Here is a 27,832-nt window from a genome sequence, read left to right on the forward strand (position 1 = left end):
TTGAGGCCAAGAGTTTGAAACCAGCCTGTGCAACACAACAAGATCCTGTCTCCAGGGGGAAAAAAATAGCCAGGCATAGTGGAGCATGCCTGTGTTCCTAGCTACTCAGGAGGCCAAGGAAGGAGAATCACTTGAGCCCAGGAGGTTGACACTGCCGTGAGTTATGACTGTGACACTGCACTCCAGCCTGGGTGACACAGGGAGATCCTCTCTCTAAATAATAAATACATAACATACAAAAAATAAATTCAAGAAAGCAAGACAAGCAGACAACAGAAGTTAAGAATTTTCATCAGCCTTGGAAATCTTGGAAACCCTGTGGTACCACTCTCTCACTTAACAAACAAAAGAAACCAGCTTTCTTTGGGGAGGAAAGGTATTCCAGAAATCTCTTCTCCTACCATGTGTAAAAGCCTCTATGGGAAAGAATAAGTAAGTACTTAGGATCTATTAAGGCACTGAGGATTCCCTGTGCCTCAATAGTACATGTACTGTTCTCTCTACAGATCAGATCAGTATTTTACAGTCAAGGAGTCAAAAAGGCAGAAATAAATATTGAATTCTTCAAGTAATAAACAAGGTCCACAGCCTGGCTCCTTGGTTACATAAACTCCAAAGTCCAAAATGCTGATGCACACCAGGCTGGGTGCGGTGGCTCACACCTGTAATCCCAGCACTTTTGGAGACTGAGGCAGGTGGATCACTTGAAGCCAAGAGTTCGAGACCAGCCTGGCCAACATACAGAAACCTCCTTTCTACTAAAAATACAAAAATTAGCTGGGCATGGTGGCACACGCCTGTAATCCCTGCTGCTTGGGAGGCTGAGGCAAAGAATCGCTTGAACCCGGGAGGCAGCAGTGGGCCAAGACCGCACCACTGCACTCCAGCCTGGGCAACAGAATGATTCCATCTCATAAAAAAAAAAAAAAAAAAAAAAAAAAAGCTGATACAACCAGAGTATGTTCCATCCATGTGATACAGAGTATACAGCTACTCAAACATCTTATTTTTGAAATTCCAAGACCCCAGTGAATGTCCAAAACGATGAATAGTACCAAACCAGGTTGCCATCAATCGAAACATGTTTCCTGTTTGTGTCCTCCACCCACAAATTTAATGTCTTGTCCATCTCAACTAAGCACTTATCACACACTGTGGCTGTAACTTTTGCAGTTTGGGGTGTCACAACAAAACTAGCACAAATTTCTTTTTCTTTCTTCACAATTTCATGGACAAAAGATTTGTTCTTACCATAGATCTTAGCAACCCCAGTATATGATCTTTTTTCTTTCCTAAGTCAAAAACTCACCTCTTCACTTAAAGGAAGCACTATATGGCTTCTCTCTGGCATATGTGAACTGCCAGCATCGCTACTCTTGCTCTTTGGTGCCATTTTAAATAAAATAAGGGTTACTTGAACACAAGCACTGCAATACTCCAACAATTGATCTGATAACTGAGATGGCTAGTATGTAACTAGCAGGTGGGGAGCACATACAGCATGAATATGTTGGACAAAGGGATGACTTGTGTCCTAGGTAGGACGGAGCAGGAGGCCGTGAAATTTTTATCATGTTATTCAGAACTGTTTGCAATTTAAAACTCATGAAATGTTTATTTATATAATCTTCCATTCAATATTTTTGGACCACGGGTGACGCAGGTAAGTAAAACCACGTAAGGCAATACTGTGGATAAGAAGGGACTACTGTACCAGCAACGAACAATCAGAAAAGGAAATTAAGAAAGCAATTCCATTTACAATCGCATCTAAATGAAAAAAATGCCTGGGAATAAATGTAAACAAGGAGGTGAGAGACTTGTATGCTTAAATTACAAAACGTTGCTCAATGCCAGGCTAACACCTGCAATCCCAGCACTGGCAACAGAGCAAGACTCCATCTCAAAAAAAAAAAGAACTATAGCAATCTTAACAAAAATAATACACAACAGTCAGGACAGCACGTAAAAGAACAAGGCTTGTTCCCCCCTTCCTTTTTTTTTTTGAGATGGAGTCTTGCTCTGTCACCAGGCTGGAGTGCGGTGGCTCGATCTCAGCTCACTGCAACCTCTGCCTCCCAGGTACAAGCTGGGACTACAGGCGCACACCACCATGCCCAGCTAATTTTTGTATTTTCAGTAGAGATGGGGTTTCACCATGTTGGCCAGATGGTGTCGCTCTCTCGACCTTGTAATCTGACTTCCTCCGCCTCCCAAGGTGCTGGGATTACAGGCGTCAGCCACGGAGCCCGGCCAGTTCCCCCTTTTCAAAATGAAGAAATAGATTCAAGGTACAATGCCAAAACATAATAGAAAAATAATTCCATTACCTTCTTTGCTTCCAACTATGTTATTAAAGTAGACAATCTTAAGATAATTAAACAACTTTACAAATTATTCTTCTGTATGATCTTTTGCCTCTAACCTGCTCACTTTACAAGGGAACTGAAGCTCAAGCAGGCAAATGCCTTGTTTAAAGATATATAGCTAGGAAGGAGCACAGCCCATGTTATGTAAACAGGACAATATCTGATTCAAGCAGTACTTCTTTGCATGACAGCAGATGTCACTATAAGCAAATACCTGAATTCACTTAAGCTGCCAAATATCAAGAACTGATGCAGGGCTGAAAACAGGAACAGTAAGACCCTAAGAGATGCCACATCATCGCTATCTTGCACAGTAAGATAGAGATGTAATTGTAATTGTCCAAAACTTAACATTTGTGGCCTACTTTTTCATTATGCAGTTCTGAATTTCTCTTTTTTTTTAAATTCAAACGGAGTCTCGCTCTGTCACCCATCTTGCACAGTCAAATGAATCTCCCTCCCCCTAAAATCCTCCAAAAAAGCTGCTGTTCTCAACAAACCCATCTGATCAGCTCCAAATCTGTGGAGTCCCAACAAGGGTGAAGGCCGTGATTATACAGGACAATGAGGAAAAGTCTAGATACTGAACCATGAGTTCCCCAATCTTCTTCCCCTGGAACATAAGGGTAAGGAAATCTCTCAAAAGGCAGAACAAACAAAAGAGGAGAATAAGAGAAAAATTAGAGAAACTCCAGCTTTCAGGTAAACATCATTAAAAAAAAGGGTAAGAAATGGTCAAAGAAATAATACAAGAAATGCTACAGAACTGAAAGAAATGAGTTTCCCAATTGAAAGGACACTTTCAGAAAACCTTTGTTACCAAGAACAAGAATCTCATCAGACTCCTAACAACAGAACTTCTAGAAAATGGAGCAATGCTTTCAAAATTGCGAAAAAAATTATTTCAAACTCAGAATTCGATAACCAAATGATCAACTAAATTAAGTAAAGACATTTTAAAGACATACCATTAGTTTCCAGACCAGCCTGACCAGTATGGTGAAATCCCATCTCTACTAAAAATAGAAAAAATTAGCCGGGCATGGTGGCGCACACCTGTAATCCCACTACTCAGGAGGCTGAGGCAGGAGAATCACTTGAACCCGGGAGGCGGAGGTTGTGGTGAGCTGAGACCATGCCACTGCACTCCAGCCTGGGCAACAGAGCAAGACTCTGTCCCAAAACAAAAACAAACAAAAAAACCTCTCATCCACTTTTCCTCAAAGCAAGTGAGACTATGCTACACCAAAACAAAGAAAGTAAATGAAGATGACATGAGATACAAGAAACAAAGGGTCTAACTCAGAAAAAAGATGAAGGGAATTCTCAAACTGGTGATAAAGGGAAGTCCCAAGAGCACAGCTGTGTAGCAAAGAGGAAGAAAACCCAATCCAGGTTGGAGAAGTCGGTTAGTAAGGGTATTCCAGGTAGACAATCAATCAATCAATCAATGTTTTAAGCTGAAATTGAACGGATTATGTGACCAGTTTGACCACATTTGAGGGTTTAAGTTGCTGAGTTTAAGTAAGCAAGTAGTAACACAACATACAAGCAAACCAAAAAATAAAGCAATTATTCAGTCCAGGAAAAACAAAACTGCACAACAAGGGCAATTCAAATGCAAAATATTTACCTTATATTTATATAAATGTTAAATATTCATTTAAACAAAAACTGCAATAACAGTACTGAAAGAATGAGGGGCAAACCAAAGTGTCTGAGGACAGTTTTGGAGGAGCATAATAGCCAGTACAGAATGTCTAAAATGGGGCCCGGCGCGGTGGCTCACGCCTGTAATCCCGGCACTTTGGGAGGCTGAGGCAGGCGGATCATGAGGTCAGGAGATCGAGACTATCCTGGCTAACACGGTGAAACCCCGTCTCTACTAAAAACACTAAAAAATTAGCCGGGTGTTGTGGCGGGTGCCCGTAGTCCCAGCTACAGGCTGGGGCAGGAGAATGGTGTGAACCCGGGAGGCAGAGTTTGCAGTGAGCCGAGATCGCGCCACTGCACTCCAGCCTGGACGATAGAGCGAGACTCCATCTCAAAAAAAAAAAAAAAAGAAAAGAAAATGTCTAAAATGGGAGAAAGGGAATTAAAAATAACAAAAGTATATATGTGTGTTACTCAGAAGTATGAAGTATAGATGTAAAGGGCAGAAAAAACAACTAACAGCTGTCAAAGGTGCCTGCCTGTAGTCCTAAGTACTCAGGAAACAGAGGTAGGAGGATCATTTATGCCCAAAAATTTGATGAGCAACACAGCAAGACCCTATTCTAAAAAAAATATAAATAAAAATAAGAGCTGTCAAGTAGACTTTGAGAAGTAGGAATCAGCTGCAGAATAAGAAACCGACTTGACAGAACATAGAAAAACTAAACAGAAGCCATCTGGAAAAAGAAAAACTAGAGAAAAAATTATATATTTTTTTCTTTTTTTCTTTTTTGGAGACAGAGTCTCGCTCTGTCACACAGGCTGGAGTGCAGTGGTGCAATCTCTGCTCACCACAACCTCTGCCTCCAGGGTTCAAGCAATTCTCCTGTCTCAGCCTACCGAGTAGGTGGGACTACAGGCGCTGCCACCACGCCCGGCTCATTTTTGTATTTTTAATAGAGATGGATTTTCACCATATTGGTCAGGCTGGTCTCTCGGCCTCCCAGAGTGCTCAGATTACAGACGAAGAATATTTTTAAGAAGGGCAAAAGCACATGTGAGGGAGTAGAAAAATGGCAAAACAAGAGGAGACTAACAAATGAAAGCACAATGGAAGACTAGAAAGATATGATATACAGACGCATCATCACACTCCAAAACTCCGACATTCTAGAAAGCATGGGCAGTTCACAGATGGCCAGCCTCTGCCAAACTGGGGGAGAATACTAACCTCTTCATATTCTTCACAGCCACTGCCTCTTCTCCCTCCATTCTTTACCTTCTATCCAAAGCACCCTGTTTTGTCATTTCACTCAAACCTAACTTCACAGAATAGCTTCACATGTTCCAAAGTTACTCACTAGTTAATCCATATTCCGCTGAAATCCCCAGGTTCTAATGTAAATGACTTTCAATTTGGGGGAAAAAAAGACTCTAAGTGTAAGAGAGGTGGTCATAATAACCAATCGTCAAAATCTTGCCACCACTCCACTTTATTTAATGGAGAAGTTATGTAGTTGAAAGAACATTCTAACTTCTGTCTAGACCAGTGGTTTTTAATCTTTTGGAAGCCAAGGTCCCCACTAAGAATCTCAGAAAGGCTCTAAGCTTGCTTTTTTTTTTTTAAGCTTGTTTAAAAAAAAAAAAATCAGGCTGAGCAGAGTGGCTCACACCTGTAATCTCAGCATTATTTACATGTAAAGAGGAAAAATACCCTTAAAACATTTGTGGAAAAGGTTAAAAATTGCAAGCCATACTAACGATTTGTAAGAACTTTAGAATTTTTTTTTTTTAAGCAAAGTCAGCTACCAAAGTGTTCCGGGCAGGGAGGGGGGCGAGGGAGGTGAGTATGAGGAGTGGAGTGGAGCTGGACCCTTACAAAGGGACAGCGACAAACACCTCATACTCAAAACAAGGGGACTTTCCGTGTCATTTGCGCCGTCGGGCCATTGCAAATGTCCGCGCTGAGATGCCTACCTTGTCACTCGACGCAGCCGCCAAAGCTCACCCGGAGCTGCGTCAGTCCCCACTGGGTTCCTCCAGGCCAAGGAGGTATGACCTCCGCCGCAGCATATAAAGTAAATGTCCAGGAGATGGGAAGAAACCCGCCGATACAGCACCCGGGTGCCCAAGCCCCCGAGAACTAGGCCGCGCGGGTACTACGGGGCCAGAAAGCCCGGGCCAGGACGGGCCCAGGAGCGAGCACCGTCGGGAACAAGCGTCGGGAACAAGCCGGGAGAAAGAGGAAGCGCCGGCGCCAACGGTCTCCCGCCCGCAGCGGTCCCCCCAGGACTCTTCCTGCGCTTGCAAGCGCCGCGCCGCCCACAGGACTGCGCCAGCCGGCGGGCGCCGCAACAGAGCGCGCCAGGGAGCAGCGCCCGTCAGGAGCCATGACGCCTGAGCCATCGAGGCCGCCGCCGGGCCGGGTCCAGGCCACCGCCTCAACAGAGCGCGCCAGGGAGCAGCGCCCGTCGGGAGCCATGACGCCTGAGCCATCGAGGCCGCCGCTGGGCCGGGTCGAGGCCGGCGCCTCAACAGAGCGCGCCAGGGAGCAGCGCCCGTCGGGAGCCATGACGCCTGAGCCATCGAGGCCGCCGCAGGGCCAGGTCGAGGCCGGCGCCTCAACAGAGCGCGCCAGGGAGCAGCGCCCGTCGGGAGCCATGACGCCTGAGCCATCGAGGCCGCCGCCTCAACAGAGCGCGCCAGGGAGCAGCGCCCGTCGGGAGCCATGACGCCTGAGCCATCGAGGCCGCCGCCGGGCCGGGTCGAGGCCGCCGCCTCAACAGAGCGCGCCAGGGAGCAGCGCCCGTCGGGAGCCATGACGCCTGAGCCATCGAGGCCGCCGCAGGGCCGGGTCGAGGCCGCCGCCTCAACAGAGCGCGCCAGGGAGCAGCGCCCGTCGGGAGCCATGACGCCTGAGCCATCGAGGCCGCCGCCGGGCCGGGTCGAGGCCGCCGCCTCCACAGAGCGCGCCAGGGAGCAGCGCCCGTCGGGAGCCATGACGCCTGAGCCATCGAGGCCGCCGCAGGGCCAGGTCGAGGCTGCCGCCGCCTGGCCAGGTCGAGGCCGCCGCCGCCGCCTCAACAGAGCGCGCCAGGTAACAGCGCCGGTCGGGAGCCATGACGCCTGAGCCATCGAGGCCGCCGCAGGGCCAGGTCGAGGCCGGCGCCTCAACAGAGCGCGCCAGGGAGCAGCGCCCGTCGGGAGCCATGACGCCTGAGCCATCGAGGCCGCCGCCTCAACAGAGCGCGCCAGGGAGCAGCGCCCGTCGGGAGCCATGACGCCTGAGCCATCGAGGCCGCCGCCGGGCCGGGTCGAGGCCGCCGCCTCAACAGAGCGCGCCAGGGAGCAGCGCCCGTCGGGAGCCATGACGCCTGAGCCATCGAGGCCGCCGCAGGGCCAGGTCGAGGCCGCCGCCTCAACAGAGCGCGCCAGGGAGCAGCGCCCGTCGGGAGCCATGACGCCTGAGCCATCGAGGCCGCCGCCGGGCCGGGTCGAGGCCGCCGCCTCAACAGAGCGCGCCAGGGAGCAGCGCCCGTCGGGAGCCATGACGCCTGAGCCATCGAGGCCGCCGCTGGGCCGGGTTGAGGCCGCCGCCTCAACAGAGCGTGCCAGGGAGCAGCGCCCGTCGGGAGCCATGATGCCTGAGCCATCAAGGCAGCCGCCGGGCCGGGTCGAGGCAGCCGCCTCCACAGAGCGCGCCAGGGAGCAGCGCCCGTCGGGAGCCATGACGCCTGAGCCATCGAGGCAGCCGCCGGGCCAGGTCGAGGCCGCCGCCTCAACAGAGCGCGCCAGGGAGCAGCGCCCGTCGGGAGCCATGACGCCTGAGCCATCAAGGCAGCCGCCGGGCCAGGTCGAGGCCGCGGCCTCAACAGAGCGCGCCAGGGAGCAGCGCCCGTCGGGAGCCATGACGCCTGAGCCATCGAGGCCGCCGCAGGGCCAGGTCGAGGCCGGCGCCTCAACAGAGCGCGCCAGGGAGCAGCGCCCGTCGGGAGCCATGACGCCTGAGCCATCGAGGCCGCCGCAGGGCCAGGTCGAGGCCGGCGCCTCAACAGAGCGCGCCAGGGAGCAGCGCCGGTCGGGAGCCATGACGCCTGAGCCATCGAGGCCGCCGCAGGGCCAGGTCGAGGCCGCCGCCTCCACAGAGCGCGCCAGGGAGCAGCGCTCGTCGGGAGCCATGACGCCTGAGCCATCGAGGCCGCCGCCGGGCCGGGTCGAGGCCGCCGCCCGGCCAGGTCGAGGCCGTCGGTCTCTTCCAGACCCACTCACCTTTCGAGGCGACGGGGCGGAGCCCTGCACCGAGGCGACGTACCGCTCCCCGTAGGCCTTGCTGCAACTCATCGCGCCACCAACCTGGCTCCCGAGATGCGTGAGACCAGCGCTCAGCCCCGCAGCAGTCGCCAATTCCAAGAGGAAAGCGCCTGAAAGCCACTGAGGCAGCGGCGTAGCCGGCGGAGGACCACTGTGACGAACTTGTGTCCTGCGTCAACAGTGTGTGGAACGTTGGCGACTTCGGCGCTCGAGCTGCACTCGGCTGGGCTCTTGGCAGCACCCTGTGCTCTGAGGGTGTCTTGCCCGCCGGGCGCCGTGGCTCACGCCTGTAATCCCAACACTTTGGGAGGCTGAGGCGGGCGGATCACTTGAGGTCAAGAGTTCAAGACCAGCCTGGCCAACATGGTGAAAGCCCATCTCTACTAAAAATACAAAAATTAGCCAGGTGTGGTGGCAGGTGCCTGTAGTCCCAGCTATTTGGGAGGCTGAGGCAGGAGAATCGCTTGAACCCAGGAGGTGGAGGTTGCAGTACGGTGAGATTGCCCCACTGTACTCTAGCCTGGATGACAGGGCAAGACTCCATCTCAAAAAAAAAAAAAAAAAAAAAAAAAAAAAGACTAAACTGTGATTTGAGGCAGCTGAGGAACTAAGAGCCCAGGAAGAAAGGACAGTAATGAAAAAGCCAACAAATGAGACCAGTATTTAGTGGTATTTCCCCTATAGGCAATTATTTATTCAAAAATACAGGAACAGCATTTATTTGCTTAACTGCAGATATGCAAACAAAAAATTTAAATGGTCTTAGTTACTATCTACATGCAGATGCTTCCAATCTTAATCTCTAGTCATGACCACTGATCCTTTTTTGATTCCTTTAATTCAATTTATATATCTCTAAGTGAATATCTTGTCAACACTGACAATCAAGACTAAGATGTATTTATTCTATTCCAGATTCTACTCTAAAAGTCACCAGGAAAAATTCAGCTCCACTGGTCCTGGCTCTAAGTCTACTAGCAAAATCTTCCAGAGAAGTGGAAAAGCCATCAGCCAATGTGTTAGACTATCATTTCCATGACCTTACACCTATCAAAAAGGCACTATTACCAGGCTTATAGAATTCTAAAAAAGTTGGAAACCATTTTCCATTATAAAAGAAATTCTTCCAAATCACACAAAACACTCTGACGCTTCTCCAATTCCCCCTTTCAATGTTCCGCAAATGTGCTGGTTTGAAGGAAAAAAAATTCAATGTGGCACATGTTTAAAAATATAATGAAGACATAGACATTATCAAATACAACTGATAGCACTAACCTTCCCTTTGAACCGTCCCTAAACATCCACACTCACATGTCCTTTAAATACAAACCACTTTTCTCCAGGCTTCCTAACTTGGTAAATCCAGGTACCTTCCCAGGTCGTTCAGAGAATTGGGAGCCTCGTTCCACATCACTTTTCCCCAGCCCAGCAGCACAAAACCAATCAGCTGACAAATTCATTTCCACCTCTCAAGGCCTCTCATATTAATCCCTCCTTTCCACACATATACTGCCCTAGCTCAGACCCTCTCATACTTCTTAAACTGACACAGACAACCTCACTTGGAGGCTAACTGGTCTCCTTATCTTTAATCCCAAAATACACCTATTTACCACACAGATCCAAAACCTCGTAACTCCTTTCTCAAAATCCTGTAATGCCCTGTCAATTGCATTCAGAAGAAAACCACCTTTTCATCCTTTCTCCCTTTAAGAGCACATTGGTAAGAGTGTAAATCCCAGTTCTACCACTTAGTAGGTTTATTTCATTTGTAACCTCTATCTCATTTGTAAAAAAAAAGAATCATAGTACTCTCTTCTCAATAAAACTGTTCTAAGGAAATAATTAATACTAATAAAGCACTGAGAACAATGCCTAGCACATAGAAAATGCCCAAAAAAGGTTATTATTGTTATCCAAACCCTATCCTGCCTCACCCTACAGACTACTTGTACTTTTATAAGTATTTATTCTACAGATTTATTGAGTCCTTATGACTAGGAGATGAAGATACAAATATCCATTAAAAAATGTTCCGCATTATCTAGCCTTCCTGCCTGTGCCTGTGTGGTTTCTCCTTGCCCTGAATGCTCCTTTCTACCTACAGATATCCTACTCAACCCCAAGGTCCAAACGAAGACTGACATGTCTCTCAGAGATGAGGCTTTGATTTTGCCATGTCCTCCCATTGGATGTCATCTTCCCATCAGTCAATCAACGATGGTACTCTCTTTTCCACATTACTGAGTCATGAGTCTTTCTTAAATTCTAATTTCTTATGCAGACAGTACATCAACTCCACACAATTGTGAGATCCCTAGATGGAAAAGAATGTATCATTTCCATCTCTCCAGCACCTTCAAAAAGTATCACATACATCACAAGGGAGGTCAGTGTATGTTAACTGAATCACTTCTGTTTGAAAACATTTATTCTGCAAGTAGAAACTAAAATTAAGTTAACCATGGAAAGAACTAATGTTTAACCAAACTTCTTTAAAAAATGTTAACTTTTTGGCAACACCTAGTCCTTTTCTTACCTCGTCCAATGATCCAAGGAGTTTACTAAGAGGCTTTGGAGCACTAACGCCATCTAGTGGAGTACTGGGCCGAGGCATTGTGTTGGACATCGTCAGAGAGGGAGCTGGCAGTCCAGGAATAAAAACCTTTCCCACCTTTAAGCAATAAAAACATGTGGAAAAAAAAAATACTGCCTTTAATGCATCACATCCTTAAATAAAATGTTAAGGAATATAAACATATATTTCTTTTGATATTTCTAAGTTTATGCTCAACAAACACAGCAAAGAAACAATTCAAATGTCAATAATCTATTGAATTCCACTATCCAACTGTAAATATGTTGGTATAATTTCTTTTTTTTTTTTTTTGAGATAAGATCTCACTCTTTCCCTGTGGCTGGAGTACAGTGGCATGATCTCAGCTCACTGCAGCCTCAACCTACCAGGCTCAAGTGATCCTCCCACTTCAGCCTCCTGAGTAGCTGGAACTACAGGCACATGCCACTATGCCTGGTTAATTTTGTATTTTTTGGTAGAGACGGGGTTTCACCATGTTATCCAGGCTGGTCTTGAACTTCTGGGCTGAAGCCATCTGCCCACCTAGACCTCTCATACCTTAGTATAATTTCTCTTGGTTGGATTCCTTCTCTTCATTACTGAAGACTTTTTTGGAAGGCAAGGAGAGGAATGTTAATATAGTCAACACATTATATAAAAATCTGTACACTATGTACTCTTCTACCTTATTGGTCATAAAGACAGTAAGAACAGCGGCTGGGCGCGGTGGCTCACGCCTGTAATCCTAACACTTTGGGAGGCCGAGGTGGGCAGATCACAAGGTCAGGAGTTCAAGAGCATCCTGCCTAACACAGTGAAACCCCATCTCTACTAAAAATTAAAAAAAAAAAATTAGCCGGGCATGGTGGCAGGCACCTGTAGTCCCAGCTACTCTGAGGCTGAGGCAGGAGAATGGTGTGAACCCGGCAGGTGGAACTTGCAGTGAGCCGAGATCGTGCCACTGCACTCCAGCCCAGGCAACAAGAACGAAACTCTGTCTCAAAAAAAAAAAAAGAATGAGTTGACAATCCATGCTAACCACTCCTTATTTTGGCTATCTGTAGGGTACTTAGCAAAAACAGAAATTCACATCTGTACAGGCTGAAAACTTGATAAGACTAAAAAGGAGATGCTCAGAACTAAAATGAGATCTTAACAATGTACATATTCATGTTAACACACTACTCAAAAGCTAACAAAATAACAGAAGTTGCCCCAATAAAATCCTTAGGCTTAAAAAACAAAAATAACAGTGAGAACTAATTATGCATAATTTTTTAAAAGCTATCTCAAACCCCTAATTTACGAAAAGATGGAATAAGCACATACCATGCTATTCCCTCATTAATCACCAAAAAGAAAAAAAAACTGAATAAAATTTATAATGCAACTAACAGAAGATTCTGAAAAAGTGAAGAAAAGAAGACAAACTGGCTAGTAACCTGAGACCCAGGAATGACCTAATGATGAATTCCCTAGGTTTCTGGTTTTTTTGACTCCTTACATAACCAGGCCTCAGGCTTTCAAAGAGCCTATAACACAGACATGCCAACGTTCACAGACAAAACACGCCCTAAGAAAATCTTAGTCTTTCCAGCCAAAGTGTTGGGAAAAGAATGACCAACCAGGACAGAAACTTTTCACTATATCTGCCCTACTCTTTACAAACACCATGAAAAAAGTCATGGCCGTCCCTTCCTCCTCATCAGGAGGCACAGTGAAAATTTTGAATGTCCCTCGTCTATTTGAGGAAGTCCCCTTCTATTTCTAGATGCTGAGGATTTTTTTAATATTTGATTTTATCAAATATTAAATTTTGATATTTGATTTTATCAAATGATTTCTCTGCATCTATTTAGATCCTTGGTCAGCAAACCATGTTCCATGACCAAATCTGGCTTGTATCCTGTTTTTGTACAGTCTGTGAGCTAAGAATAGGTTTTATGTACTTAAATGGTTAAGGAAAAAATAAAACAGAAGACAAATATGTAACAGAGACTGCATGTGGCCCATAGAGGCTAAGATACTTGTCTGAACTCCTACATAAAAAGTTTGCCAGGCTGGATGTGGTGGCTCATGTCTGTAATATCCCAGCACTTTGGGAGGCTGAGGTGGGAGGATCGCTTGAGTCAGGAGGTCATGGGTGCAGTGAGCTGTGATCCCACCACTGCACTCCAGCCTGAGTAACAGAACGAGATACTGTATCAAAAAAAAAGAAGAGAAAAAAATTGCCAAGGTTGGAGAGGACATGAACAACATTATCAACCAAATGGAATGAACTGACATTTACAAAATACTCAAGGGTGCCTTCTTGGTGATTTGGCCCTTTAAAGTCTCTCTTTGTTCCTGGTCATTTTTTTTTTTCCCACTTTATAGCGACTCCAGCTATCTTTTGATTACTGTTTGCATAATATATCTTCTTTCCATCCTTTAACTTACCTATGTCATTATATTTGAAGAACACTTCTTCTTATAACCAACATATATAGTTGGGCTGTACTTTCTAATCTCTTCCGCTAGTCTCTGTTATTTGTGTTAGACCATTGTATTTAATTAGTGGCCTAGTGGGATTTAAATCTGCCATTTAATATTTGTTTTCTGTATGTTCCCACTTTCTTTGCTCATCCAGAAGAAGCAACTCTTCAAGTTTGATCATAAGATTTTGGCAATTCTGTTCAAGTTTGGCAGTTCTGTTCAGGTTTAATCATAAGATCTTGGCAATTTAGTCACATCTTCAGGCTCTACTTCTAATTCAAATTCTCTTGCTATTTCCACCACATCTGCAGTGACTTCCTCCACTGAAGTTTTGAGCCCCTCAAAGTCACCCATGAGGGTTGGAATCAACTTCTTCCAAGTTCCTGTTTATGTTGATATTTTGTCCTCCTCCCATGAATCATGAATATTCTTAATGGCATCTAGAAAGGTGAATCCTTTCCAGAAGGTTTTTTTTTTTTTTTTTTTTTTTTTTTTGAGATGGAGTCTCCCTCTGTTGCCCAGGCTGGAGTGCAGTGGCGCAATCTCGGCTCACTGCAAGCTCTGCCTCCTGGGTTCATGCCAGTCTCCTGCCTCAGCCTCCCGAGTAGCTGGAACTACAGGCACACGCCACCACGCCCGGCTAATTTTTTGTACTTTTAGTAGACACAGGGTTTCACTGTGTTAGCCAGGGTGGTCTCGATCTCCTGACCTCGTGATCCACCTGCCTCGGCCTCCCAAAGTGCTAGGATTACAGGCGTGAGCTGCCGCACCCGGCCCAGAAGGTTTTCAATGGACTTTGCCAGATCTCTTAGAGGAATCACTATCTATGGCAGCTCTAGTTAAGTAATGTATTTCATAGTAAGACTTGAAAGTCAAAATTACTCCTTCACAGGCTGCAGAACAGATATGTCAGCAGGCATGAAAACAACATTCATCTCCTGTACATCTCCCTCAGAGCTCTTAGATGACCAGGTGCACTGTCAATGAGCGGTAATATTTTGAAAGGAATCTTTTTTCTGAGCAATACGTCTCAACAGTGGGCTTGACACATTCAGTAAACCATGCTATAAACAGGTGTGCTGCCATCCAGTCTTTGTCGCTCCATTTATAGAGCCCAGGCAGAGCAGACTTGGTATAATTCTTAAGGGCCCTAAGATTTTTGAAATGGTAAATGAGCACGGGCTTCAACTTTAAGTCACCAGCTGCATTAGCCCCTAACAAGAGGGTCAGACTGTCCTTTGAAGCCAGGCACTGACTTCTCCTCTCAGGTTATGAAAGTCCTAGATGGCATCTTCTTCCAACAGAAAGCTGTTTCATCCACACTGAAAATCTGTTTAGTGTAGCCACCTGCATCAATTATCTTAGCAGCTTCTACATCAGCACATGCTGCTTCACCTTGCACTTTTGTGTTATAGAGAGGGCTTTTTTCCTTAAACCTCAAGAATCAACCTCTGTTAGCTTACAACTTTTCGTCTGCAGCTTCTTCACCTTTCTTGGCCGTCACAGAATTAAAGAGAGTTAGGGCCTTGCTGTGGATTCGACTTCAGCATAAGGGAATGTTATGGCTGGTTTGATCTTCTGTCCAGACACTAAAACTTTCTTCATATCAGCGATAAGGCTGTTTCGCTTTATCAGTTGCCATGTTCACTGAAATAGCACTTTTAATTTCCTTCGAGAGCTTTTCCTCTGCATGCGCAAGTTGGCTCTTGTGCACAGGTGGTCTGGCTCTCAACCTATCTCAGCTTTCAACACGCCTTCCTCACGAAGCTTAATCATTTCTAGTTTTTGATGTAAAGTGAGAAACTTGTGATTCTTCCCTTCATTTGAAAACTTAGAGGCCATTAGAGGGTCCTGAAAAAATATGGCAAATGCTTAATTCTTTCCCTTTCATTATCAACTTTCAGAACAGTTAGTTATAACAGCCAACTGCAATGGTTGCAAAGCAGATTTTTTCCTTTCTCTCTACCATTATGAATCCCACAATTTTTATTTATTCAAATCTTTGCAATCAATTATAGTAATCATGTGTTAAAATATTTCTGTACTCAATGTTTTATAGGTTTTTGCTGGCAATAACAAATTGAATTACATAACGACAGAGTGTTTAAAGATTATCATCAAAGTGACAAAGGAGAGTGTAAAAAAAGTGATGATATATAAAATAAAATTAAATTTTTATTTTCCTGCCATTATCTTCACATTACATTATGTCATGTTACAACGTACACCCAGCTGCTGAGATCATTAGGCTGGTTTTATCATTTCTGTTAAATTTTAAAACAAAACTTTTTTTAAATTGCATTAAATAGTGAATCAAATGCTAAAATTCAAATCAACTCACCTGCTGAACAGGACTGTCAACTGTAAATGCTTTATAAACTGCCAATGCCTGGCTTTTACTTCCTTTGCTCCATATCACCATATTTCCAGCAACATAGAGTTCCTCATCATAGTCCACATCTTCTCCAATTTCACTTACTCCTTTCCTTAACTGCCAGTTTTCCTTAAAAATTAACACATGTAAGACATATTCGAGCACTCTTTTTTTGTTCTTCAAAAATCTGGAACAAAATTTATTTGCCCATGGAGTAAGACTCAATTCAAACACAACTCCTACAAAGTTTGGTACACTGATTAACAGAGGATGTGGATATATGCATTACATTACAGAATTACATGAAGAATTTATGCAATAATTCTCTATATTGAATGTTTTATATTATTCCTCTATATTCCTCTGCCAAAAACAAAAACAAACAAAAAGTACACCTCTATAGTTCCAAAAGTCAAATCACATGCTTGGGAGACTAAAAGGACATATTAAGTATATGAGGTAGGGTAGGGAAAGGACAGTGAGGTGCACGTGGGAATCACTCGGGGAGTTTATGCACAAATGCAGACTTCCTGCTTCGCAATCACATATATATTCACCTTCTTTTCCTTTGTCCCACACACCAAAATGAATGGAAGAAAGAGAAGTTTCCATTTGTAACTACATAGGCTTTCCCTCCCCGAGATTTTGGTATCCCAAAGGGATATGACAATGGAATAAGGCAGGAGGGATTCATTTTCTGACACACACTTAACATCTCATTCCCCTACTTAAGAACTATTACTCGCCGGGTGTGGTGGCTCACGCCTGTAATCCCAGCACTTTGGGAAGCCGTGGCAGGTGGATCACCTGAGGTCTGGAGTTTGAGACTAGCCTGACCAACATGGAGAAATCCCGCCTCTACTAAAAAAATACAAAATTAGCTGGGCGTGGTGGCACATGCCTGTAATCTCAGCTACTCGGGAGGCTGAGGCAGGAGAATCGCTTGAATCCAGGAGGCAGAGGTTGCGGTGAGCTGAGATTGTGCCATTGCACTCCAGCCTGGGCAACAAGAGTGAAACTCCATCTCAGGAAAAAAAAAAAAACTATTACTCTACCTACTTTTGTGGCATTTCTTCTCTCCTTTAGAAACATGTAAATCTTCTGCAGCAGGGACTACTTCTAATCTCTACCATTTAATCATTAAATAACATGAAATCTGGTCCCCACATATTAAGTGAAAAGAAAAAGGTTTAAAATGGACAACAATCGTACTACTGAACCTGACTCACATTATAACACCACAAGTTGGCCGGGCACAGTGGCTCACGCCTGTAAACCCAGCACTTTGGGAGGCCGAGGCGGGTGGATCACCTGAGGTCCGGAGTTCAAGACCAGCCTGACCAACATGGAGAAACCCCATCTCTACTAAAAATACAAAATTAGCAGGGGTGGTGGTGCATGCCTGTAATCCCAGCTTCTCGGGAGGCTGAGGCAGGAGAATCACTTGAACCCGGGAGGCAGAGGTTGCGGTGAGCCGAGATCGCACCACTGCACTCCAGCCTGGGCAAAAAGAGCAAAACTCCATCTCAAACAAAAAAATTAAAAAATAAAAAATAAATAAAACCACAAGTTATAGAGGGTATCTAAATAAGTCGCTATGACAATGTAATAAAGTCATTATTTTCAACATTTATTGAAATTACCACACCTTAACTCTACCCTAGAAGTGGCATCACACCGATCTCTCAGTTGCATCTTAGTAGCCTTAAATTACAAGTAGATTATATCACTCTACATTTCAAAAACACAATGGGAAACTCAATGGAACCTTCTGTTTCTCGTGGATTGTAACCTCCTGAAGGGATCCCACCAAGCCAGCAGCACCATCAGAAGACCATAATTCTGAAGCTGGCTGCAGCTGGCGAAGTTGAAGGTTCAAAGCATTAGGGTGGTGCTTGCAGTGGTCTCCACCAAAAGGAACAAATTCCTGCAAATCCCTGGCTGCAATCATCGTTGTCCTTTCTTCATAGAAGTTCGTCATGGGTTCCAAATATCAACATTATTTCTGTATGACTTCAAACACATTCTGGTCAGCTTCCAGACTCAAAACTAGAATAAAAATACCATAAACACACAAGTCCTTAATCCTTACATAGGTGTCAAGTAATTATATCAGACTGGTAAGTGTATAAGTTGGTCATAACATAAAAGGGCATTCTAGATCTGATTCAGACAGTTGCAATTATCACATTTTAGTCACAGACTGACAGTTACCACTATAGGAAACCACTGAGATGCAACAAGTACTTATGTCCCGCACCACCTATCCCGTGTTTCCCACTACTATACGCTAATTTTTCCATACTTTATATATGAAGTATTTAGACAAGTTGTATTCTGTAGTCCCATAACTACATGGCTTCTCAACATTTAAGGTCATTTCTGGTTAGATGCCAGAACCTCATTTGAAAAGTACATCTAAGGGATCATTGTCATATTGGAATAAAACAATAAAAAACCACACATTAATTCATCAGAGGTTGAACTGCTTTCAGCTGACCAATCTACAAAAGACATAGGTTATCAAATGTCTTAAGTAGCTGTGACACCCCCAATCCCACCTAAATATATAACTACAATCAATTTCAATTATTGGTCGAAACCCAGAGAACTGAGGCATGAATAACTCTAGCCATGGAACAGTTATGCTTGCAGATTTAAGGGTATTAGGTTTTAATTAATTATTACATCTAATTAATCTAATTATTAATATATTACAGTACAGTTTATTACTAAAAAAATGTGGATAACTGTTAAAGCCTTCATCACAAGGTTAGGAAGCAGCCAGGCTTTAGACAAAAGTACAGATAAGTATAATTAGATTGCCCTTTGATCCACTTTCCTGTACCTGTTTATATATACCATGTTCCTATAGACAACATTTTTAATGTTAGGAGCCTAAGACTTTTGAGATGATGCAAGCTAGTCTTAAGACCCCATCAAGGAACCACATTAGCATGAGAATGTGGTTTATCTCTCTGTCTTATGACTTCATCCTTCGTTCTCTGACCAATCAATACCTTAGCCCACTACCCTCTCTTTAAAACCTCTGGGCCGGGCGCGGTGGCTCTCGCCTATAATCCCAGCACTGTGGGAGGCCGAAGCGGGCGGATCACCAGGTCAGGAGATCGAGACCATCCTGGCTAACATGGTGAACCCCCATCTCTACTAAAAATACAAAAAATTAGCTGGACTTGGTGGCGGGCGCCTGTAGTCCCAGCTACTCGGGAGGCTGAGGCAGGAGAATGGCGTGAACCCAGGAAGCGGAGGTTGCAGCGAGCCGAGATCATGCCATTGTACTCCAGCCTGGGCAACAGAGCAAGACTCTGTCTCAAAAAAAAAAACCAAAAAACCTCTAGACCTTAACTCTTTGGGGAGGCTGACTTGAAGTTTCCTCAGTCTCCTAGTTCGGTGGCCCTGCAAGTAAAACACTTTATCTGCTGCAATCCCTGTTGTTTCCATGTATTGACTTGCTGCTCATAGGGCAAGAGTCCTATATGGTTACACAAACACCCAAAGCCTATGTAGTTCCTTTGCAGCTCCTCTAAAGCCACAAAGTTATTTTGCTGTGAATTAAATGTTATTCTTGGCCAGGCGCGATGGCTCACGTCTGTAATCCCAGCACTTTGGGAGGCCGAGGCGAGTGGATCACCTGAGGTCAGGAGTTCGAGACCAGCCTGGCCAACATGGTGAAAGCCCGTCTCTACTAAAAATACAAAAAAACTAGCTGGGCGTGGTGGTGTGTGCCTGTAATCCCAACTACTCGGGAGGTTGAGACAGGAGAATCGCTTGAACCTGGGAGGTGGAGGTTGCAGTGAGCCGAGATCATGCCCCTGCACTCTCGCCTGGGCAACAGAGTGAGACTCCATCTCAAAAAAAAAAAAAAGCAGACTTAATTTACTTGAAGTAGTTTGTTTCTTCCTTTTTTAAAAAATGCATTCCTTTGTCAGCAGGTATGGGAGAATAAATTTCTTTCTTAGCTGCCAAAGACACACTGCCAGTAAGAGAGGTCAATAAAAAAAGACTGCTTTATGCACATTACTCCATTTGTTCTGTACTGTGATGACTGCTGTTTGCAGAAATTCTCTGGACTATATTGATTTTCCTCTGTTGGTGCATTGATAGAACTACTCTCAGGGGAGAGATTTCTAGGAATGAAATAGAAGACAATGTGAAAAATAGTATGTACAAAGTTCAGAAGATTGCATTTTGAGATAGTAGGTTTCTAGTTGCTCGTGTAATCTGGAGATTTCTTTTCAATAGAAGTGCAAAATTTGTGCACAGACATACTCGTATTGGTAATTAATTATTTGTTTATTGCTAGAGAACCTTTACCCACTATGTTCAGCATGCTGCACCCACTAGATGAAATAACTCCACTTCTTTGTAAATCTGGAAGTAAGTGTATTTCTATATTTTTTTAGATAAGCTCTTTTGTTTTTTTTTTTTTTGACTTTGGTGAGGGAGATTATAAAGGCGCTCATCTTGAGCTGATGCAGCTTCCAGCTGCATCTTGAGTAATTTAATAGTCATGGAGTATTTTGTGCCACCTGGTACAAGAGAAGAAGTTAATCTATAACAAAAGATCAGTGACTCAGAAGGGAAGGGGTCTTATCTTGGTGCCATTCAGTCTTTCACAACATTTTACAAACAAAAAAAAATTTAAAAAGGATGAATCTATAATCAGATAAGCAGAAGTTGCAGCTGTTAGCTATGTAGCTCAGGTTCCACAGTCACATTTTCTTCAAGCCACAGAATAAGGTTGCAACAACTTATTTAAATTATTTATTTTCCAGCTGGGCGTGGTGGCTCACGCCTGTAATCCCAGCACGTTGGGAGGCCAAGGCGGGTGGATCACAAGGTCAGGAGATCAAGACCATCCTGGCTAACATGGTGAAACCCGTCTCTACTAAAAATACAAAAAATTAGCCGAGCATGGTGGCGGGCACCTGTAATTCCAGCTACTCGGGAGGCTAAGGCAGGAGAATTTCATGAACCTGGAAGGTGGAGCTTGCAGTGAGCCGAGATTGTGCCACTGCACTCCAGCCTGGTGACAGAGCCAGATTGCCTCAAAAAAAAAAAAAAAATTATTTTCCAAGTCTCATCTGGGCCTCTATTTCTTTACCAGGCTCATTAATTGCACATTTTTATAGCATTTATTTATTATTTGCTTTTTTTAAAAAATAGATATGAAGTTTCACTACATTAACCAGGCTGGTCTCGAACTCCTGGCCTCAAGTGATCCTCCCATCTCAGCCCCTCAAAGTGCCGGGATTACAGGTGTGTGCCACCACGCCTGGCCTATTATTTGTCTATCTCACAAGACTCTATGCTCCCCGTGGACAAAAATCTTATCTGTTTAGTTTATCAATATATGCACAATGCCTGGAATGCACAGGGCCCGGAATAGCAGAGCATGTGCTCAGTAAGCATATGTGGGGTGGTGGGCATAGAACACACTGCATTACATGCTGACTCTGATCACACAAAATGTCCTGTGAAGTAGGTGTGATTCATATGAGAACTGTGGGACCCAGATAGGAAAGCCATTCCCCCAAGGCAGGGCACCAGTTAGTGTCCAGCCCAAGTTCCAATTTAAGTCTTGCTGATAGGCCCAGGGCCACAAGATACAGATGCTCAGCCAAGGAGGTGAGTGGGGGCTCGAATCTAGACCACTCTGCTCACCAGGTTTGAGCTAAGAGCTAAGACCGCCAAACAATAAGAAAATTTCCCAAACACAAGCTGATTTTAGATCAATCTATCAGAGAATGTTTTGAACTATGTAAAATAATATAAATGCATATGCACCTGCGTATATAGCTATAGATATAATGAGAACCGATAGATCTCTCATTGGTCAAGGTCCTGAGCAAAGCCAGATCCCTTAACTGACACTCAGTACCCCAGCCCATCTCATTTTCTTCCTTCTACTACTGCATTTGTGCACAAAGAAGTAAAAGACCAACAAGCATGGCACACTTAGTCTGAAAAGTATTTAAGGAACAGAGATTTATGTTGCAATAAGTTTGCTAATTTAGATACAGAAATGGTTGATGTCCTCTGGGTAGTCATAATTTTTAAATTAGCTTTTCCTTCTTTTTTTTCTTTTTTAATAGAGATGGGGGTCTTGCTATGTTGTCCAGACTGATCTTGAACTCCTGGCCTCAAGCGATCCTCACAGCTCAGTCTCCCAAAGTTACAGGCATGAGCCACTCTGCTTGGCCAGAGATTAACTTTTCTACTGGATCAACATTTTTGATCTCCTGAAAAAAAAAATCCCTTTTTATTTTGAGACAAGGTTTCCATTCTGTTGCTCAGGCTGGAGTGCGGTGGCACAATCATGGCTCACTGCAGCCTCAACCTCCTGGGTTCAGGTGATCCTCCCACCTCAGCTTCCCAAGTAGCTGGGACTACAGGCACACGCCACCACCTCTGGGTAATTTTTTATTTTTATTTTTTTTTTGGTAAAGACAGGGTTTCACCATATTGCCTGAGCTGGTCTCCAACTCCTGAGCTCAATCAATCCTCCCACCTCAGCCTTCTGAGTAGCTGGGATTACAACTGCAAGCTACTGCACCTGGCCCTCTTTCTCTTATTTGAATAATTTCTTTTTGTTAAAAGGCTCACCCTAGAGTCTGGAATTGGTAGGAGCAGAAAAAGAGACTTTCATTTCTTTATGTGATTTTAAAAATCCTGGATATTCTTTCTTATGTTTTTTAACATTTTTTATTTTTATTTTTGATTGACAGTACAATATGAACATAGTGTTTCAACATTTTAAAATAAAATCACTAAAATAAGAAAATTAATGTGGAAAAATAAAAAAGTGGGAGGCCAGGTGCGGTGGCTCATGTCTGTAATCCTAGCACTTTGGGAGGCCGAGGCGGGTAGATTGCCTAAGCTCAGGAGTTTGAGACCAGCCTGGGCAACACAGTGAAACCCTGTCTCTACTAAAATACAAAATAAATTAGCTGAGTGTGGTGGCACGTGCCTGTAATACCAGCTACTCGGGAAGCTGAGGCAAGAGAATTGTTTGAACCTGGGAGGCAGAGGTTGCAGTGAGCCGAGACAGCGCCACTGCACTCCAGACTGGGCAACAGAGCAAGACTCTGTCTCTACAAAAAAAAAAAAAAAGGTGGAATGTGTCCTTGGGGAGGTAGTACTAGTAAAGTGTTTGTACGAACTTGATTTTGAGATATGGAGCTGCACTTTGACCTCCAATAGGGGAGCATTCCATGGGCCTGGTCTCCAACTTGGAAATAAACTCTCTAAAGACATTATTTTCTTTGCTTTACACCTCATGTCACTTCTCTGAGTAGGAGGGATTCTGCTTTCATTTCTTTTAATGGTAACAGTGGAATCATTAACTCCCTACTAAAAGAGGCTTATTCAATATATTTTTGTTTGATTTGGGCTCCCTTTGATGGTGGTTAGTTTGATATTTGAGACTTTTTCCTAAGGAGACTATAAAAAGCAATCTAGACTTCTTCTCTTTGATTTGGGTTAGAACTAAGCGTGAGATTTCCAAGTGGAAAGTGAGCATCAACCTAATAAGCTTTTATTCTACATCGTTCAAAATGTTCTCTGTAAAACTGATCTAAAAATCTGCTTGTATTCTGGAATTTTCTTATTGCATTATCTTAATTTTTTTTTTTTTTTTTTTTTGAGATGGAGTCTTGCTCTGTCGCCCAGGCTGGAGTGCAATGGCGCAATCTTGGCTCACTGCAACCTCTGCCCTCTGGGTTCAAGCGATTCTCCTGCCTCAGCCTCCTGAATAGTTGAGATTACAGGTGCCCTACCCCACCCAGCTAATTTTTGTATTTGTAGTAGAGATGGGATTTTGCCATATTGACCAGGCTGGTCTTGAACTCCTGACCTCAGGTGATCCCCCCTCCTCCACCTCCCAAAGTGTTAGGATTACAGGCCTGAGCCACCGTGCCTGGCTGCACTATCTTAATTTTTACACCAGTCCTTTTACCTGTTCACTCCTTCCACAGCTATTTAAAGAGCACCCCTCATTTATGAATATAGGAACTGAGGCCTGAGAGTGGGTAAATAGCAGAGAAGCGATGCTAACAGGCACTCTTTCTGCTATACCAGTGCAGTCCAGGCAGGTTATGTATTCTCTGATTCCATTTCCCTTTTCTCTTGGGCACCCAACTAAACTCCATTTTCCAGGCCCCTTACAGTTTGGTTGAGTCCATGTGACTGAGTTCTGGCCAGGCACCACAGTGGCAGCAGGTCACACTTCGATGACCCAATCTAGCAGTTCTCAACCCATCAGACCAGCCCTCCTTCACCAGAACGACTCTTTGTAATGATACTTTTACTGTCCTGAAATGAATTTCACAGATAATAGGCTCTACCTACACATGTAATTTCAAAACAAGTCAACAAAAATCCTGAACTATATAAAAGAGGAGATTGCTTTATAATAAATGGACCAGTCAACACTCAGGCACAGCTGCAGAAGACAATATAGTGAGGTCCCCAAATACTTATACCAACCTGTACTGAACAAACGTCAACCGAAGAGAAGTCAGAGCATGAGCTGATCTGTAGCCAAGACCAGGAAAATGGAAGAGCAAAGGCACAAGTGAATGGTGGACTAAAAACCGCTACATTCAGAGAAGGCAAAACCTGAGAGGGAAAGGTACTTTATGTTGACAGGCAAAACTGAGTTTTGTTCCAGGTTCAGATAATTAATTACAAACAGGTTATTCACCTGAATGAATATCCAATGGCACACATGAACATCAAAGGAAAGGTCCTTCTGTGCACCTGGCTTCCCTGACCCCACCCACTAAACGCCCACAGCCCACCTCAATCGATATGACCATCTCCATGCCCTCAATGTTTTCCCAAGCCAGTCCCACAAGAAAGTGATAGCTTCATCTGAGACCTGCTGAGTTACCTCCTCCAAGTTCAATGGGCAAGCAGATCCCGGATTTTATTTAGCCCTGAAGTTAACCCAGTGAGATGGCATGGTTGGTATTATTTTCCTCATTTATCCACGTAGAAACAGAGGCCTGAGAGTGCGTAAGTAGCAGAGAAGTGATGCTAACCAGTGCTCTTTCTGCTATACCAGTGCGGTCCATGCTGGTTATGTATTCACTGATTCCATTTCCCCTTTCCTCTTGGGCACTCAAGTAGACTCCATTTTCCAGCCCCGTTATGGTATGATTGAGTCCATGTGACTGAGCTCTGGCCAGTGGAAAGTAGACAGAGTGATGTTGATGCTTCCAGGCCTGGTACCCAGCCCCAGCACCCTCTACACTGCCCTGGTGAAGGCAGTCATCCTCTTTTCCCTTTGCACAGTGATCCCTGGAGCCATGAGTTGAAGATGGGGGAAAGACCCTGGTCCCCTGCAGGACTGAGTGGAGCAAATACTCCTTACTCCCTGGCACAACTGCACTTGAATGTCACAGAACAATGCAGGGGATTTGTATTGAGTTAAACCACTAATATTTAGAGGTTAATTTATCACAAACGCAAGAGTTTCCATAACTAATGCATCCAGGGGTTCCCTGTCTATGATTTTAGACAATACCTGACAAAGCAGTGAGTAACTTTTAATCATTTACTGAGAAAGTTGTTCCTTTTGCAATGCTGTGGCGCCCATGAGAGAGTGGATAGAAAGAGGTAGCTTGTGTTTTCTAAACAACAAATACTTTGAATACACATACAAAGAAGAAATACAAATGGCCAACAAGCACATGAATTGATGCTTAACATCATTTCTCATTCAGGAAGTACAAATCCAAACCACAATGAGATATCACTTCACACCCACTAGGATGGAACAAAACAAAAACAGAAAATAACAAGTGTTGACGATGATGTGGGGAAATTGGAACCCTTTCATTGTTGGCAGAAATGTAAATGGTCACAGCTGCTATGGAAAACAGTTGGTTAGTCCCTCAAAAAGTTAAACATAGAATTATTGTATGACCCAGCAATTGCACTGCCTGAGTACATACCTGAAAGAATTGAAAACAGGCACCCAAACATATATTTGTACAAGAATGTTCACAGTAGCATTACTCACAAAAGTCAAAAAGTAGATATAGTAGCCCACTCAAATGTCCATCATTAGATGAACAGATAAAGAAAATGTGGTATATACAGGTACATACACAAAATATTACTCAACAATAAGAAGAAATGGTGCTACAATGGGGATGAACCTGAAAAACATTGCGCTGAGTCAAAGAAGCCATTCGCTAAAGACCACACATTGTATGGGTCCATTGCATGAAATATCTAGAACAGGTAAATCCAAGAACAGAATGAAGATTAGTTGTTGCCAGGATTTGGAGAAAGGTGACAATAGGGAGTGACTGCTTAATGGGTGCAGGGATTTCTTTTGGGGAAATAAAAATATTTCAGAACTAGACAGATGTGGTGGTTGTACAACATTGTGAATGTACTAAACACCACTGGACTGTATGCTTTTGAATGGTTAATTTTGTGTTATGTGAAATTCACATCCGTTTTTTTAAAAAGCTCACACTAGTGTGTGGTCTCCCCAGGTCTGTGTCCATCCAGACCTCAACAGTCGCTCCTGGGAGCGAAGGCAGTATCCAGCGAGACTCTGGCCTCTGGCTGGGCTGAGTGACTTCTTTTCCCCCAGTGCCTTTGAACTCTCTGCACCCAACTCAGCCATGAGCAATGCTGTCACCAGCAATGGGCAGAGGGGCTGGGGCAAGAGTGGGATGGAAAGAATACTGGATGTGGAGACCAAATGTGACAGTGTCCTTGCCCGGCTGCCTGCTTTAGATCTCAGGGGACATGCCATTTCCTCTCCGATAAACTCTAAGCTCTTAGGGTAACCCATGGACCTGCCTGGCTGGGTCTTTGCTGACATTTACAAGGAGCCTCTCCCGCAGCCCTCCAAGGGGTCCCTCTCCCCTGCAGGCTGCATGCCCAGTTCTCCCTGGACCTCCCCAACCCCCTCTCTACTAACCCCCGTTTGAACAGGAAGACACAGCCTGAGCCAGGTCTCCCCTCACAAATCTCCCCACCAGGGCTGGATCGCGCAACAAATAGAGCCGGCCCCAGGGCACTCGCCGGCAGGGCGCAGCCGGTGATCGTCACAGTCCTTCGAAATTCTTAAGATCTAGGTCTTGCTGCACCCGCACAACCTACAAACAGCGTCGGGGCCTTCTCTGCACCTCCAGTTCCCAGCTCACCTCCCTCAGTGTCACAGCCGGTTACCTTTCCTTCCTCCCTGGCAAGGGAGGGCAAGACTTGGGGCTTGCTGACTCCAGGCCCAGCCCAGCCCGGGGCACCCAGGAGCCCCTCAATTGCTACTCAAACAGACAAGAAGCGGCCCGAGTTAGTGGCCAGCTCCACCATGCACTACACATCCTGACCTCTCTGAGCCTCTACTGTCACTCGGGGTCACAACCCTTTCCTGAGCACCTCCCGGGGCAGGGGGCGATGACACACATGCAGCTGCCTGGGGGAGGCCGGCGGTGTCCCCTCCTTTCTGGAAAGCGGAGGGTCCTGGTGGGCTCTGGAAACGCAGCCCAGACCTTTGCAATGCTAGGAGGATGAGGGCGGAGACCTCGCGGTCCCCAACACCAGACTCCCGCAGCCACCGCGCCCGGTCCCGCCCTCCCCACTGCCCCCCCCAGCTCCCCGACCCAGGCGCCCCGCCCGGCCAGCTCCTCACCCACCCCAGCCGCGACTGTCTCCGCCGAGCCCCCGGGGCCAGGTGTCCCGGGCGCGCCCCGATGCGGCCGCGGCTGTGGCTCCTCCTGGCCGCGCAGCTGACAGGTAAGGCGGCGGCGCGCGGGCTGCCCAAGGTCTGCGCTCCCGGGGCCTGAGCGGGGAGGTGATACGTGGCTGTCCTGGCCCTGGTCCTGGCAGGGTGCAGCGTCGAGCCCGCGGTGGCGGGGCGCCCGGGAGGCAGCTTGGCAGGCAGGGTCCCTAAGGGTGGAAATAAAATACCCCCATATCGCATTACCCCGGGGGACCGGAGAGCCCCTGACTGAGGCCACCTCCCCTCAAAAGCCTGGACGCAGGAGAAGGGGAGGCAGTGAAAAGGGGAGCGAGTGAGGGAAG

General features: G+C 45.3%; 2 protein-coding genes and 1 pseudogene across 9 annotated transcripts in view, besides 1 other annotated feature; 1 reads left to right on the forward strand and 2 right to left on the reverse strand.

Moving 5' to 3' along the window:
- The window catches only part of RGPD3 (RANBP2 like and GRIP domain containing 3), a 67,530-nt gene extending 56,520 nt beyond the window's left edge, over window positions 1-11,010 (reverse strand). For 2 of the 5 annotated variants that reach the window (NM_001144013.2, XM_017004740.3), the window contains exon 1: window positions 8,292-8,488. In NM_001144013.2, the coding sequence (NP_001137485.1) occupies window positions 8,292-8,363 (72 nt within the window). In that variant the 5' untranslated portion in view covers window positions 8,364-8,488. Of the gene's footprint in view, window positions 1-8,291; window positions 8,489-10,875 lie in introns of those variants that run through there. The other 3 variants (XM_017004739.3, XM_047445567.1, XM_017004738.2) reach the window with 2 other exon arrangements.
- Window positions 7,759-7,951: a silencer, noted in NCBI's record as "fragment chr2:107084140-107084332 (GRCh37/hg19 assembly coordinates)". NCBI's record gives its function as "represses an EF-1alpha promoter that drives an FKBP-Casp9 reporter gene in an ReSE screen in K562 erythroleukemia cells {active_cell/tissue: K562}" and the evidence as "EXISTENCE:reporter gene assay evidence [ECO:0000049][PMID:32094911]".
- Window positions 13,887-27,641, reverse strand: LOC107985931 (anaphase-promoting complex subunit 1-like; annotated as a pseudogene). The gene is made up of 4 exons (NR_171622.1): window positions 27,445-27,641; window positions 17,532-17,812; window positions 15,731-15,892; window positions 13,887-15,240 (listed from the first exon to the last, which is right to left on the reverse strand). The product of NR_171622.1 is annotated as an anaphase-promoting complex subunit 1-like (transcript).
- CD8B2 (CD8B family member 2) overlaps window positions 27,439-27,832 on the forward strand; it is a 56,934-nt gene continuing 56,540 nt past the window's right edge. For all 3 annotated transcript variants that reach the window (NM_001368307.2, XM_024453217.2, NM_001349727.2), the window contains exon 1: window positions 27,439-27,544. In NM_001368307.2, the coding sequence (NP_001355236.1) occupies window positions 27,502-27,544 (43 nt within the window). In that variant the 5' untranslated portion in view covers window positions 27,439-27,501. The remainder of the gene's footprint in view (window positions 27,545-27,832) is intronic.

Source organism: Homo sapiens, chromosome 2 (assembly GCF_000001405.40).
Source record: "Homo sapiens chromosome 2, GRCh38.p14 Primary Assembly".
In the NCBI taxonomy this organism is placed as follows: Eukaryota; Metazoa; Chordata; class Mammalia; order Primates; family Hominidae; genus Homo; species Homo sapiens.